Below are 17040 nucleotides of genomic sequence, written 5' to 3'. Positions count from 1 at the left end.
AACTTAAAAATGTTAGTGGAAAGAAAGGAATCTATACAAACAATGGAGTACAAAGACATGAGGTCTCTAACAAGACAAGCAGCATAGAAATCTGGGGATATATTAAGCAGAAGGATATGATTATCAATTTGAAGCAGGCTTTCAGCACACTTTAACTATTATAGAAACCAGTTTCCAATCATTGTTTTTTAAAGTAGGACCTCTGGAATTTGCTAAAACCAACAACTGTATCTATTAAAAAGTCATTTTATCTTCATGACTCAGAGGATAAAAAGGATTTATAAGGATCAGGAAAAGCTATTAAATCATCACACACATAAAATCTTAACAACAAAATTAAGTAACGATTTTGCAAAAATCTAGAAAATAAACACTTCTAACACTTCTTTTTCAACTTAAAGTCTAAATGTATAAGCTCTTTATAAAGAAAGGAACATACATTAAACCATTCTTAAAACCCTTCTTCTGCCCCTCAAAGACACAGATTGTGTTTCATATTACTTTGACTTCCAAGTCTTTGGCATAAAGTCCCTTTAGTGAACATCTAGTGATAATAGTGAAAATGATATCAATATTTTGTAAATTAAAAAAAAGTCTATATTCCATCTACTCTTTCCATCCCTCCTTTCTTCCTCTTAAAACGATCACAAAGAACCAAATTAGTTAAGTATAATTGAGGATAAAATTTTAACATAGTTAATCCTCTAAAATCAGACCAAGCCATAATTCCAATCTTGACATTCACTAGTTCCTGCAATCCGTATCCATCAAATCAGTTCATTCCAATCATCCATTAAAAATCATCCCCAAAGCACAAAGTATATGACATAGCTGAAGAATAATCTTGTATCATAAACAGTGATATGATAAGCCATAAGGAAACCCCACTGCTGGGGAAACCAAGAAGCAAATGGTACTTCATTATGACTGAAGATAATCAATACTCACTTTAAGTATTTAGATAAGTCATCACTTAATTCTTTAGGGATGTAGTCAGATATCAGACCATGGGCATAACGAATATAATCCTCTGAAAGAAACAGAAGGAGGAGTGAAAGCAAAAAAAAAAAATAGTAATTATGGTGGTTTTATAGTCAAATTGACCTGAATTCAAATTCTGACCCTATCTGGATAAAGGGAACTCACTTAAGCTCTAGCCTCAGTTTTCTCATTTGTAAAATGGGGATAGTAATATCTATCGGTCAGACTAGTGGGAAGATATGAGGGATGAGATATGACATGTGATGATACCAAAGATATAAGATAAAACAAGTATAATACAGTAGATGCTCCCTAAATGACATTAAAAACAAAAACTCAGGGTTGCTTTCTTATTTGAAACCACTGAATACAAATAAAGTTTAAAAATCATCTACAACAATATGAAATAGTCATGTCTTTTTTAAAAGGGTAATCTTTTCTAAGCCTGCTTCAATAAAGAATAAATCTAATTATTCAACAGTAATGAGTGTACTCATTTAAGAGAAATAAAATACCATGTCTCTACTACTAGGTATTTGCTTTATAAGAACCCTGAAATATATATATATAGTTCTATACATACATATTGTTCTATATACATAGTTCTACATACACACACACACACACACACACACACACACACACACACTCCCAAACTAATAAAATACTTAAACTTAAACAACTAACTCAGCAGAATTTATCATCATTAATTCTAAAGCATTTGGATTCTCAGTACTAAAATGCAGCTCTGGCAGCAATTAGAAATACAGTTACATAAGAAGACAATAAAATGTTTCAAAACTCTGTTCCTGAATTCAGTATTTTATGTAGAATACAAGCAGATAATCAAACTTAATCATAAGATGGGATAACCACGTGGGGATATAAAGCACCAAAAGCAGACCCCAGGTTTGCTGCTGGGATATTCACTCACTTCCTTTTTTCCATTCTCCTCTGCTCTCAAGTCAAAGTAACAATTTGCCTCAGTATTACATAGAAAATGACTGCCGTCTGGGGACCACCTGATGTCAAAAAGTCTTCAGTAAGAGATTTTCATTGTCAATGGAGAACTGAAAGTTATCATTTGACCCTTCTTAAAATTGCTCATGGATCTGGGATAGTCATTATCCAATGAGTCATGACTAGACCAAGAAAACTATTTTAAGAAAGTCAACATATAGTTCATTTGCTGCTTCTGGTACCAAACCAACCTAAATATCTAAAAAATGAAATAATGTAAAATATGTAAAGTTTACTTTATGGTCAGGACACTAAATGGCAATATAGCCAAGCCCAGAACCTTAATATGTAGAGTACTGGTAAAAGCACTAGACTTAGAACAGAAGATCTTGAGGATAAGTTACCTACCTCTCCATTTAAAAAATGAGATGATCTGTCTAAATAACCTCTAACATCCCTTCTCCTACTTTTAAAACAAAATCTATGGTTCCATCCATCCATCCATGGATGCATCTATCCACCCACCTATCTATCCATTAATCATCTATCTCAATCCCTCATCTTCTATTGTTAAAGCCAATTAAAGACACTGACAGCTGGTAACTCAGTATGGCAAAGGTGCTGTCCACCACTCCCAGAATGGCAGTAGCCAACTACCTATACATGCAAGGTAGATTCCTGCAAATCAGATTGCCTGAATTACTATCAATCACAAACAGGCCACTATTCCTAGTTTTTATTTATGTAATGACTAAAGCCATATGTATACCCTGAATAAGGGAACAATGAATTGGAGTTTAACGTCAGAATAATTTCTGTCTCACCATTTGAGATTGTTAACTGCATTATATAGCTGTTCTTATTCAACTATACATATAAAAATAAGAGGACTCTACTTGGAAAAGAAAATAATATACCTTTTTTAGATTATAAAAGAATAACCTAAAAGAAAAATTGCCAAGTAAATCAATTTTCATCTAAAATCAAAATATATTGATCCCTGTATCAGGAAACATGCATCTTGAGAAGAAAATGCAAACAGATGCAGCCACTGGAACAGTACAACTGTGCCACAGGAACAGTATCACAAAAAGATTACAAGTGTGGGCTTCAGAGACAAGCTCCATAAGTAGCTCAGCTTTGGCATTTACTAGTTGTGAGACTTTGCACAGGGCCTCAAGATGCTCATTATGAAATTTACTGGGAGGGTTGGATGAGATCATGTTTGTATAGTGGCAACTTAGCAAAGGGCCTGGCACACAATACACCCTCAATAAATGATAGCCAGGGTTGTTACTACTATCAATGTAAAAGAAATATTTGCTGAATAAATAACTTAAGTATCAATGAATGACAGAAGTAACCTATGGTAGAAATATTCTTCGCTTCTGAAATAAGATGCACACCTGCCACAATGTGTATGAGGCATTGGTAGGAATATGAGGCTTCTGTGATATTAAGATTTTTAAATCCTAAGATAGGCATTTACACATAAGCAACTTACTCCAGACAAAAATCTTTTCTGATAAAATGCTTTACTTACCTTCCTTGTCAGTGGAAGCTTGGTCACCAGAGAAAAATGCAGTTGACTGTACCCGGGAACTGACATTCACATTATTGGTTTTTAATGCTGCCACAGTTTGATTAACCTATGAAGCAACCAAGAGGGGAAAGGCAGGGTATTTTCAACTTAACTTTAGAAATCTATGAATTCATAGGTGGCCTTCAGACCATTTAAGAGATCTGCAAAGAAGTATTTGAGAACCTAGAAGTATCTTCACCAGACACCAGAAGATGAGAAATGGTTGCCCATTTGAAGAAAGGCTGAGTGGCAGCAATATCTGGATGATCTCAATACATGGACTTCCATGGCCTACACAATATGAGAAGGCAACATATTGTGATAACTGAGAGCTGACTCTGGAGTCAGGCTGCTGGGCTTGGCTCTGTAACCACGGCTAGTTACTTAACCTTTCTGTGGCTCTATCTGTGAAATGGGGGAAAAAAATAGCATTCACCTCATAAGACTACTGTGAAAATTAAATGAGGTAATATATGTAAATAAAGCCCTTACAATAGAACCTGGCACAAAATTTATATGTAATAACTTCCTAAATAGAATAATATAAATTTCCCACTTCCTAGGAAATATAATCAGTAAGTATAAACTCCTCTTCGCTATTCATGTCATTTTCCTTGGCTAAGAGCAAAAGTAAACATCAAGGATTCTGCTCCGCATTTATTCTCATTCTTCGCCTACATGGAATACTACTACTACTATATCACAAATAAAAAATGAAACATGGCACTCTAAATCTTTCCACTACTTTGCACATTAGGAGACTGATTATTCTACTGGACTCATTTCCAGCTTCCCAGGCTTTCAATGAGCCTGGTAACATGGTATGACAAATAAACACAATTTATTTATTATTTATTATTATTTATTTTTATTTATTATACTTTAAGTTCTGGGATACATGTGCAGAACATGCAGGTTTGTCATACAGGTATACATGTACCACAGTGGTTTGCTGCACCCATCAACCCATCATCTAGGTTTTAAGCCCCACATGTATTACATATTTGTCCTAATGCTCTCCCTCCTCTTGCCCCTAACCCCCGAAACAGCCCCGGTGTGTGATGTTCCCCTCCCTGTGTTCATGTGTTCTTACTGTTCAACTCCCACTTATGAGAGAGAACATGCAGACAAACATGACTTTTCACACAAAAGATGGAAGAGAATCTTAGGAAACAGTACTACAACTACTGGTATCCACTGATCTTGCAAAAACTTTATCATTATTCTATATGGTTTAGCGAGATTCTTAATCAATGTGAAAGTACATATTATCCTTAGACCAGTGGCTTTCAAAGTTTTTTTTTTATCACAACCCATAGTAAGAAATATACAGCAACCCAATACTTAAACACATATAAATACATTTCACAGAGCCATACTTAATACCTGCCCTTCCTCTGCTATATTTTAACCCATCCCATCCCATCCCGTCCCATCCCATCCCGTCCCGTCCCATCACGTCCCGTCCGTCCCGTCCCATCCCATCCCGTCCTGTCCCGTCCCATCCCATCACAATCTGTTTCATTCCAAGAGAAATACTGGTTGTTACCTACTAAATTGATTTGAAATTCACTGCCCCAGTCCATCCATTAGGTCAAGATTCTTAGAATCACTAAGATACAGGGTTTGCCTGTAAGATGACCCCTCATCAGTGTCCAGACCCTGAGAGCAGGACATACTTCCTCTAAACCTGAACACCTTTGCCTGGCTGTGTCCCTGGGTCCCTTTGCCTGGCTGTGTGTAAGCATCACCCTTGGAGACACCTGCAGGACTGACAGTGGCCAACAAGTGCCAAGCCTGGTATCCTCTTACTTGGAAGACTCAAATCTACACCAACAAATTATTTCATTCCGTAGTAGGAGCAGGGAGAAACGAGAATGCAGGTCACAAGAAAACATAAAGCTAACTTCAGAGATACAGAAGTTAGGGAGGATTAAAAAGTCAAAGCCTTCTTCTCATACTTGGTATCTCTACACAATTTTCCTCTTTTCACTGAATATACAAGATGGTCTCTGGATTCAGACTTACTGCCTTCTCTGAAAATTTCTTAGAGAACTGAATTTTTACTTTTACCACAAGGCACTAGAGAGGAACTATACCTTTTTTTCCAGCCACTTTAATGTCTTCTCTTTGCTGTACTTGTAATATTTCTTGTTGTCTATTTCTGGATTACCTTAAAAGAAAAAAAAGACTCAGCACAATGAATTAAAAAAAAAATAAACTCCTAAGGTTGTATCATATACAAGTTAACCATTTAAAGAATATTTTGTAAGTTTAAATTCTTGAAAAGCTTAATTTACAAACCTGAGAACATACTTGAAATGTTTTTTTAAATGTTAGTAGTAATGTGGCTACCTCAGGAGTCATCAACCACTAAATGAGTAAGAATTTAAGAAAACCTTCAAATTATACAAACAACTCTGTAGAAAAGGTAATTTTAAAACCTCAGCAAACTAATGTGAAAGGAAAATAATCTTGTTGATAGGGACAGGAGGCAGGGAAATTCTGGGCAGAAGAGGGCCGGTCCCTAGCAATGGCTCCACACTCAAGCCAGACTACATTGTGTATTCAGTGGAAGGCTGATCAAAAGAATGCCACCTTTTGTCTCCTATCTATGTCTAACGTGGAAACCCCCACTTTGAGTTGTTGCTGCCTTACTGGACTAAACCAATGTACATCTTACACATATTGATTGATGTCTCATGTCTCCCTGAAATACATAAAAGCAAACTGTACCCCCAACCACCGTGGGGCACATGTCTCAGGACTTCCTGAGGCTGTGTCATGGGTGCATCTTTAACTTTGGTAAAATAAACTTTCCTAAATTGACTGAGACCTGTCTCAGATATTTTGTGTTCACATTAGCATACTAAGCAGTCTTAACTGTTCTGAATAATTTTAAGCTCACCTCAATGTTTTCAATGAACCACTTTTTTTCTTAAAATAAAAATGAAAATCCCAATAAAGAAAATTGAAACGAAATGCAGGTATCTATGAAGTTCACTACATACATTCAGGAAAAAAATCTTGTTAACTACTCAGTAGTGGCCTGGTATTGGGGATTGGGGGAGCATTAAAAAAAGATCTATCTATCTTTTAACATATTACCAACATAATCATAGCTATTTGAGAAGATTTAGATTTATGGTAGGCTCAATCTGGCCCTTTATGGAGATAAAAGTTTCACCTCTTATAAATTACACTTAACTTCCCCACAATCCACCCAGCCTTATATACCATGACATTAAACCATGATTTCCTCTGCAACCCTTTTCATTCATGGGATTTCTTCTGTCTGTGCAATTAGCAAGGGCAGCACTTCTATTCCAGCCTCCTCTGTCCATGCAGGATTTATCTTTATGACCACTAGCAACCCTTGGGCCTGATGTGAATTTACCACCTCTGAGTTATATAGAATGAGGCTCTTTCTCCCTCCCACCTTTTGATGGGAAATGAAAACTGCCCATTCAGGGTTCATTTTCTGCAGTCTGTTAAACTGTATGGGAGAGAGGTTGGGAGGTCCCTGGCCTTAGTTCCTGTGAATTTCCTCTCTGTTTCAGCCTATGGTTGTCAATGCTGCAGGCAAGATGAGGCAGGATGGATTGGGGGCTGGACATCTGCAGCCATCTTCTCAGGACATGTCACTACAGTAACAAAAAAGAGGGACAGGTGCAAAAGCATTGTCAGGAGTGTCAGAATTCCAAGGTGCAATGTCTGCTGTTTTGGAGCCAGGACTACCTGGGCAAACAGCCTACTGTAAGCCAAAGCCAATGAGACCGGACTCAATTTCCCTGGAGCCCATGTCCCAACCGATGTACAAACCAGGGGAATTTTAAGAGCATACAGCAATCACTAAATAAATATATGACGCTGAATGGCTTTTAGAAGTTATGTTCATTGCCTGAGGAAAAAAAAACTCCAAAAGAAGCTCACTGCTCAAGGTTCTCCTGAAAATCCTACCCTGATCTGGCATCTCACTTCTTTCTTGCCTCTACCTCCAAATTTTCTCAAAGAATGTCTACCATCTGCTGCTGTTTTCCTTCCTGTCTCCCACTCCCTGAGCCCCACTAGGAGGCTTCTCCTCTACCTCTGGGAATTATTCTCTAAGAAGGGGCAGAGAGCACAGACTGAGCCATGCTACCAGGGCTCATGCATACCCCAGCACATGCTGTCTCCTTGGGAAGCCGCCTCGTGCTCAAAGCCTGTTCCCCCATGTGTAAAGAGAGGTTTTTTTCTCACTGGGCTATTCTGAGCATGAAATGTGATAATCCATACAAATCCTAGAGCACAACACCTGCCACTTAGCAAATACATAATATTAGCTAAGATATTGTGATGAAAAATATGATTTGTTAATAAAACATAAGAAACTAATGTTTATTCAGGTCTGTGCTAGGCACATTTTATACATTTTCTTATTGAATGATCAGAATGAATCTCAGAATCAATTAATAAACCATGATTTGTCCCCATCTTCGAAGACTGGCTCTGAGTGACATGAAGTAAACTCTCCTAAGTCACTGAGGAAGTAGGCAAGAGCACCCAACTCCCAACCATGCTGACATCAAAGCTGTGGATCTGATGTTCACTTTACCAAGATCACTAGGTCTGCACTTTCCTCAGTACCTCCTAACAACCTCTCCTCCATGGCATATATAAAATTGCTTTCTATTTTTTTATGTCTCTAATGACTTATCTGATTCTTTTCCCAGCTCTGCTTCACCCTCCTCCAAAGTCAACTGTATCCTTTCATCTGGTGTGATCTCCTCCTAGATCAACAAGACTAAACAAACTAACCGGGAGGCCCAAAGCCCTGAACTAAGCCTCCATGTGTCTAAAACCCAGTGGTTCATCTTCCTCCTACACCACTCTCCTGAATATCGAGGCCTAAACCTCAGAGCCAGTGCTCACACTGGCCTTGCCTCCCACATTCCATCTCTCCATCCCATGGGAGGTAGGAAGTATAGAGAGAAAAGGAGCCAATATTATTTTGGGGGAAAGGGGCAAGTAAAAATAAATACTGTGTTAGAAATCAGGAGGCTTAGCTTCTAGTGCTGGATCAGTAAATATTGTTTTAAAAATGAATTTTATTTAGGTGTTCACGCAATGTTCATGTTCACACAATGGACACACCCATTTTAAATGTACAAATCGAGGAGTTTGGAAAAATGTATGCAGTCATGTAAGCATCATCCCCCAAAGTTCCCTGGAACCCTTATGTAGTCAATTCTCCCATGGCTACCCAGATCACAGGTCACCACTCATCCATCATTATAGGGCAATTCTTGCTTTATTCTGGAACACCATAGAAATGAAATGATATAGTATATACTTTTTGTGTCCAATTTCTTTTGCTCAACATTATTTCTGTGAGATTCATCCATTTTGTTGCAGCTAGCAGTAGTTCCTTACTTTGTACCAGGGAGTAGTAGAATTCCTGAGTTGTAAGAAATTGTCAAGTGGCTATATCATTTTAAGCCGTGGACAGCCAGGTAGGTAAGTTCCAACTGTCCCACAACTCACAATCTCCTTTTTTCTTAATGGCATTTTTCAAAAACAAAAGAGAATACTTTTGATAAAATACAATTTATAATTTTTTTACAGTTAGTGGGTTTTGTGTCCTAAGAAATCTTTGCCTCCCAAGACAACAAGGATTTTATCCTATGCTTTCTTCTAGAAGCTCAATAATTTTCATTTTTGAATTTAACATAGTGATCCATTTTGAATTAATTTTTCTGTATGAGGTAAGAATCAACGTTATTTTTCATATGTATACCAAATTCTTCCATCAACATTTGTTGTAAAGACTATCCTTTTTCCCACTGAATTATCTTCACACTTTTGGAAAAAAAAAATCAATTGACCATATAAGTGTGGGTTTATTTCTAGATTCTCTATTCTATTCCATTTATCTATATATTTATCCTTATACCAACACCAAATTTATTTTATTTTTATTTATTTTTTAAATTTAGGGACAGGGTCTCACTCTGTTACCCAAATTGGAGTGCAATTGTGTGATCACAGTTCACTGTAACCCCGACCTCCTGGGCTCAAGTGATCTTTCCTCCTCAGCCTCCCAAATAGTTGGAACTATAGGCACATACCACCACAGCTGGCTAATTTTTTTTTCTTTTGAAACAGAGTCTCGCTCTGTCACCCAGGCTGGAGGGCAGTGGCGCGATCTTGGCTCACTGCAAGCTCTGCCTCCTGGGTTCATGCCATTCTCCTGCTTCAGCCTCCCGAGTAGCTGGGACTACAGGTGCCCACCACCACACCTGGCTAATGTTCTTTGTATTTTTTAGTAGAGACAGGGTTTCACCGTGTTAGCCAGGATGGTTTCGATCTCCTGACGTCATGATCCACCTGCGCTGGCCTCCCAAAGTGCTGGGATTACAGGCGTGAGCCACCGTGCCTGGCCCACAGCTGCCTAATTTTTAAACTTTCTGTAGAAATGGGGTTTTGCTACTTTGCTCAGGCTGTTCTCGAACTCTCAGCCTCAAGCAATCCTCCTGCTTCGGCCTCCCAAACCGCTAGGATTACAGGCATGAGTCATTGTGCCTGATCTCCACATTTTCTTGATTATAGTAAGTCTTTAATTCAGTTTGTGTAAGTTCTCCAAATTCTTCTTTTTCAAAATTGTTTTGAATATTATAGGTCCTTTACATCAGGGCTCCCCAGTCCCTAAGCCATGTACTGGTACCAATCCATGGCCTGTGAGGAACTGGGCCACACAGCAGGAATGAGTGTCAGGCAAGTGAGCATTACTGGCTGAGCTCTGCCTCCTGTCAGAACAGTGATGGCATTAGATTCTCATAGGAGTGCGAACCCTATTGTCAACTGCACATGCGAGGGATCTAGGTTGTGTGCTCCTTATGAGAATCGAATGCCTGATGATCTGAGGTGGAACAGTTTCACCCCAAAGCCATCCCCCTCCCTGCCCCATCCATGGAAAAATTGTCTTCCTCAAAACCAGTTCCTGCTGCCAAAATTAGGTTGGAGACTGCTGCTTCTGCTGCTTTACATAGTCATATAAATTCTAGAATCAGTTTATCAATACCTACCAAAAAAAAAGAAAAAAAAATGGAGCTGGCTAAGTATTACACTGAATCTATAATGTAATTATATAGTGTAATTATAGTGTAATTTGGGGAAAATAGATACCTTAAAAATATTGAGTCTTCCAATCCACAAACATGGCCTATTTCTCCATTTATTTAATTTTTCTTTAATTTCTCTCAGCAATATTTTGTAATGTTCAGCATATTGGTCTTGAACATATTGTGTTACATTTAGCACTAGAATGTTATTTTTAATGGTAGTATAAATGGTATGTTTTTATTCCATTATCCAATTGTTCAATGTCAGTATATAGAAACACAACTAATATTTGTATATTGAACTTGTATCCTGAAACTTTGCTTATCAATTCTAGTAACTTCTTTTGTAGATTCTTTTGGATTTTTTCATACATGACAATATTGTCTATGAATAAAGACAGTTGTACTACTGACTTTCCAATCTGTATGTCTTTTTCTTGTCTTATTGCACATGCTAGGACATCCACCACATGGTGAATAGAAGTGGTAAGAGCAGGCATCCTTCTCTTGTATCCAGTCTTGGGGGAAGATTGTGTTCAGTCTTTTACAATGAAGATGATGTTAGCTGTTTAAGTTTGCCATAGATGCCCTTGGAAGTTCCCTTTTATTCTTCATTTGCTGATAATATATATCATGACTGAATTTTATCAAATACCTTTTCTGTGTCTTTTGAGATAATCATACAATTTTGTAATGCATAAATATGGTAAATTATGGTAAATGCTCAACCAATTATGAATTCTTGCAATAAAGCCCGCTTAGGTTTTATATATTTAATTTTTAGATATTTGATTTTCCAATATCTTCTTAAGGATGAGGCATTTGAGAATCTTACGTATTTTTCCCCCCATTTAAAAATCTTTTTGAGAATGGGCATGGTGACTCACACCTATAATCTCGGCACTTTAGGAGGCTGAGGCGGGAGGTTCCCTTGAGCCCAGGAGTTCAAGACCAGCTTGGGTAACATAGAGAGACCCCCTCATCTCTCCAAAAAAAATGAAAAAATTAGCCAGGTGTGGTGGCTTGTGCCTGTGGTCTTAGCTACTCAGGAGGCTGAGGTAGGAAGATTGCTTGAGCCCCAGAGATTGAGGCTGCAGTGAGCCGTGATTGTGCCACTGCATTCCATCCTGGGCAACAGAGCAAGACCTTGTCTTAAAAAAATAAAAATAAAAAAATAAAAATAAAAATCTTTTTCTTTCTGTTTTTAAAACTTCCATTATTTTGAGATTCACAGGCTGCAGCTTATTAAGGGAAGAATTTGATAAAAAGAAACTGCCAAACCTCTAGAGATTGAATACATCTTTTACTGTGTGAAATTTATTCTAAAGTATTTTATGTTTTGCCCATCACTTAAAAATAAAGAAAAAAATTGAGGCCTAGGGTTTTTGAAATCTGGCAAATATAAAGGCTAATAATATAGCTACTTTGAAAATGGAAGTACAGAACTTCCAAAAGTTAGGCAATATTGAGAAGCAAAGGAGACTAAGACAAGTTCAGATAATGATGCAATAAATGGTCAGGAGTTCGGTGTACAAGAGGGAAGGGATGACACAGAGAGAGCCTCTTGCTCTCGGCTGCAGACTGTAAGGAAACAAATGCTGAGGCACTAACATTGTTTCTAAATCTGGATTTCTGGGTTTTAAGATGATTGTTCTTATACAGCTAATAGCAGAATTCTGGACAATGAGTTAACTGCATTTTCAGCTTGCATTAAGTTGACAAAAATTAACATGGCTTAATTAAATTATTCTTCATTACTTTATCTTTTAAAAGTGGTTATGGGCTAATTCAGGTCACCCACAAAAAGACTGCTGTCTTCTGCCAAACTCAGCATCAGGGAATGTCTTTAATGGAACTGCTTTGATAAAACCCTGGCACCATATACCCCTCAGTTCCAAACTGGAGCTCCAAGTGTGGCCAAGTATGAATTTACTGGACCCCTTAAACATAAAATGCAATCAATAAGGTTCTTCTCTTTCCCACTGTAAGCTTACACTTCTTGGAATCACCACTTTCTTGGTCCCAGAAGAACTGTCATAGTTGGCCAAACCATCTATGACCCAAACAGCCACAACTTATCAGCCTGATGCTCTGGTTCCCACACTTTGTTTCCATATTAACCCTGAAACTACTTGGATGATTTTTTAAGACACCAAAGCCAAGTTTTTATACTATTTCTAACCTGTCAAAACACATTCACACACACTGCCTTACTTTTCCCTCTGAAAAATTAAATGAATGATAGTGAAAACGCATCTCTTCATTACCCTATCCTGCTCCTCCAGCCCATGTTCCCTGTGTCCAGGATCCCACCACTACACATCCTTTGGGTCAGGCACAAACCGAGAAGTCACTCTTGACTCCTCCTTCTCCTTGACCACCACCCAACAACCAGATGCAGTTGGGTCCATCTCTAAATGGCTACTTTCTTCTTGTTCTATCTCCTAAGATCAAGGCCACCATTATCTCCTGTCTGGATCACTGCAACAGCCTTGGTGGACCTGGCTTCTCCAATATACTCTCCACACTGCAGACTGCCATGCTTAAAACTTCACAGACACTCCACTACCATTAAGCAAAGTCCAAACACACACAGGGCCCTTTACCATCTGGACCCATGCCCAGCATTCCCGCCTCATTCCTTACCAACCTACATCCTTCCCCAGAATCCTATACTTTGAACTCCTTGGAACTTCCTGAACCTGACAAACTTTTCCATACATCTGAGCCTCTGTTACACTGCTTCTCTGACTATCCTTCAGGACTCCATAAAGAGGTCATTTCCCCCAGGAAAGCAACACAACATCTACCCACCTACATTCCCCACCCAACCCCGCCAGATTAGAAACCTGTCCTGTGCATCCCCAGTAAATTCAGAGTTCACTTCCGTTACACTGTGCGGTCACTGCTCAGCTTGTCATTGACCCCCATCAGACTGGGCGCAAAGTGAAGAAAAGGACAATGTCTTATTCATAAGTATCTAGAGCTTAGCACTAATGTGCAACATATGCTTTTTGGAAGGTGCTCGATAAATGCTTCCATCTATTAAGGTACAGGTTTTACGTAATTTTACAATGAGACATCTGAGGCAGAAGGCAGCTGAGTGACTTGCCTGATGTCACAGAACTAGTTCAAAGAAGAAGTGAGACTGAAGCCACACCTTGTGATTCCTGCCCTGTGGACGTAGGCCCTAGACTGCCATGGTTGTAGTTCCAAAGACTAAACACTCCAAAGCAATAGAGGAACAGTGCTGGCAGTGTTAGCAAATCTGAATGATAGTTTTCCCTATGGTGGACACAGAATAAGCCTTACATTCAGTGTGTCTGTAAGCAGCCACGTTCTTAGGCAAGGTCCATCCTTTCTACCAGCCATAAGCCTTTAAGTTATACCATACCTTTTTCCTCTGTCACATGATGAAGTAACTTCTCAAGTCCAGGAAGTTTCAGCAACAAGATGCAATTTGGAAACACGTTATCCACCACAACTTGATCAAGGGGCTGAAACTTCCCCTGAAAAAACAGTTAGTTGGAAAGCAAGCATTTCATTCAACAAAGACATTCAGAAAAAAAGAGAAAAAGACACATTAACTCATGGCTGGGCCTTTAAACTTAGTGCAGAAGCCACCTATTCCATCTAAGGAATCCCTACAATGGGACAGGCTCTAGGACGGACCCCAGCTCCCTTCAGGAAGCTCCTGTGAGCACTGGAGTCCCACACAGCACACCATCTACCTTGGGTGTACAGTCCCCAAATGAAATGGGGAAGAAAATCAATCTACAAAAGCACTGGAAGCCACAGAAGCTTGCAAAGATGGTGGAGACTGCCTGGGGATGGTCCAACCCATTCAATTTGAAGAACCAGCTGTGGTCACAGAGCAAGAGTCCTGACTGTCACATTGGAACAAGCCCAGACCAGGCCCAGACATACATCTGCCTCCCCATCATCACTCTAGGGATGATGAAAGAAGCACCCGCCACAAAAAGAAAATACAAAAGTGAATCTACCCCTGTCAAAGCTGCCTCACAATGCTTCCAAATTTAGACCAGAATAAAAGAAAAGACAGCCAGAGGGAGAAGTCATGGGAAGCTGCAGACAGGCTAAATCAGGCTCAGCCACAGAAGTTTATATGGCCTGGTTGCCAGTGGGCCAGAAGTGCAGACCATATGGATTCACAACATCATTCTTTGGAATTAGGTCTAGTTTTTCGTAACTGTACTAGTAGCAAGTAGAGGTGAAGTTTGTCTAAATTAAGGTATTAGCCCCCTGATTTGGGGACACCAGACTGTACCAGATGTATGGCCTTGCCCATGACCCACTTCTAGCTCGCTCTACCTCTCGTGTACTGACAACTCCTCCTGAAGACACAAAAACTGCATCTGATCAATTTCTGCAAATGCAGCTTTCTTGGGTTTTAAGGGTAAAATCTTCTCAATCATTTAAGAACACGTGATAGCTTGCCATACTTTCTCTTAGGTTAACTAGTGCCATGAACTATCTCAATTTAAATGTTCTTTTTCCTTCAAATAGTAAGAATAATGCACAGATTTTTCCCAAGTCTTACTGTCTTTAGATTTCTACCTTAAATCTATAGTCTTCCATGATCAATCAATATCTTAAATATTTGACTACTCTAAAACAATATTTATATGTAATGGACTACCATACAATCATGATATAAAATAATTTTGTAATTAACTAGTGTTTCATTCTTATTTTTATTTACCATATATACATTGAAGGAAATGCAATAAGCAACCTGCCTTGACTATAAAGCTAGTAGCAGTGGGATACCTAGAAAAAAAGTTATTTTTACTGATGTTAAAATAAAGTTTAAAAGAACAGGTCACATTTCAAAAGTGTGTATCAATAATTTTTAACTAAATAGGAAATGATCATGTCTAAAATGTAGAGAAGGAAATACCTAAACATCTCAAATGTTACTTTAAAGGGCATTTTTGGCACTTGGGAAGACGTGTTTGGGAAGTACGACGGTTTAAAATGAAAGCCAAAGGCCACCCTGAACAGCATTTCTGCTTCATTCTGCACTTGTCAACGTGAGCTCGCCATAGCACCCTGGAGGTGCCCAGAGTGCCAAGACAGGGTTAATCCCCCAGAGTCATGGTCCTAATGGGAGATGGAGAAATGCTATCAAAAAGGGGAGGGGGAGCCTTAAGTGCAGATCAATACATTTGCTGAGGCTGGTTGGTGTCTTTCTGCTCATTAATTTATCCTAGAAAACACCACATAGGTGAGCCACTGAGGTTTACAAATTCCTCCCTGAATATTCCCCAGGGCGTTCCTGGTGGTGATTAGGACCATTTCTGTTCCTTAAAGACACGAGGCTTACCAGCCTCACAGCTTGTGTGCCCTCGTTATACCGGCCATCACAGTAGCTTCCAGATAATGGGACACATGATTAAACGAAGGGATAAAACTTCACTAATTCACAGTGAAGGGCGGAGGGCAGGGAAGGAGGAGGCTAAAAGAGGCTAAGCTGCATCAAGAGAAAACATGCATTGATACTTTATGACTTTCAGTATTTACAGCAACTTAAATTAATTTACCTACCAAATGGAGGTTTCAGGAATTTGATCTAAGGATTAAGTAAGAAATTTATAAGTGTTCAAACTTTATGCAAACATGAGAGTCCAAAAAAACCAGATTCTTCTAAGCTGTTTGAGTGACACTTATCACTCAAAGTTATTAATTAAAAGATTTTCCAACTATGGTTGATGGATCCCTGGGTCATGAAGTACCTAAGCTCAAAGCTATTTTCCTAATACTGCTAAGACGCTATCTGCATTTTCACTGTGTGGACATCTGCACAGATGATTCAAATGCAATGGTGGGTAAAACTGCTGGCTCTTTAGCACGAGTCTGGTGGTGGCACCAGACTGTCCTAGTCATCATTTGGATCCTCACCGCCATTTATGTGCAGTTTAAAAAATGCCAGTTTCACTTAAGAATATCCTTGAGCAAGTAGTAAAAGCAATTAATTTTACTTAAATCTTGGCCCTTGAACACAAGTCTTGTAAATTATCTGTGATGAAAGTGAGGTATGGCTAAAGGCCTTTGGCTGCTTAACCAAAGATAAGCTGATTACCAGGAAGAGCATGTTCTCCTGGGGCTGGCTGAGTTGCAAGCAGAACCAGCTGCTTTTTCATGGATATCATTTTTATTTGAAAAACCCACTATGAATTACGGTGATTCAGACCCCGGTATTAGGCAGAATATGAACGAAGTGAGCCTGTCATTTCACGGGAAAGATTGACAATATTTGCGGCCAATAATAAAATTTGAGCTTTCAAGCAAAAATTAGAATTGTAGAAAATTTCTATCTGCCACTATGACAGCTTCTCAATACCTAAAGAGCTTTCTGATGAGATCAGTGGTAATATTAACAAAAGGGAGTGTGTG

At 38.8% G+C, this 17040-nt stretch overlaps 1 protein-coding gene across 12 annotated transcripts in view; it reads right to left on the bottom strand.

Annotated features, from left to right (window-relative positions):
* Positions 1 to 17040, bottom strand: part of RNASEH2B (ribonuclease H2 subunit B) — a 60783-nt gene that overhangs the window by 21444 nt on the left and 22299 nt on the right. For 11 of the 12 annotated variants that reach the window (XM_047430613.1, NM_001142279.2, XM_047430617.1 and 8 more), the window contains exons 5-8: positions 14018 to 14132; positions 5623 to 5696; positions 3485 to 3590; positions 949 to 1030 (exon numbers count right to left, since the gene is read on the bottom strand). In XM_047430613.1, coding sequence (XP_047286569.1) covers positions 949 to 1030; positions 3485 to 3590; positions 5623 to 5696; positions 14018 to 14132 — 377 coding nt within the window. Of the gene's footprint in view, positions 1 to 948; positions 1031 to 3484; positions 3591 to 5622; positions 5697 to 6962; positions 7167 to 14017; positions 14133 to 17040 lie in introns of those variants that run through there. The other variant, XM_047430618.1, reaches the window with a different exon arrangement.

This window comes from Homo sapiens, chromosome 13, assembly GCF_000001405.40.
Source record: "Homo sapiens chromosome 13, GRCh38.p14 Primary Assembly".
In the NCBI taxonomy this organism is placed as follows: Eukaryota; Metazoa; Chordata; class Mammalia; order Primates; family Hominidae; genus Homo; species Homo sapiens.
This window is presented reverse-complemented; position numbering and strand designations above follow the sequence as displayed.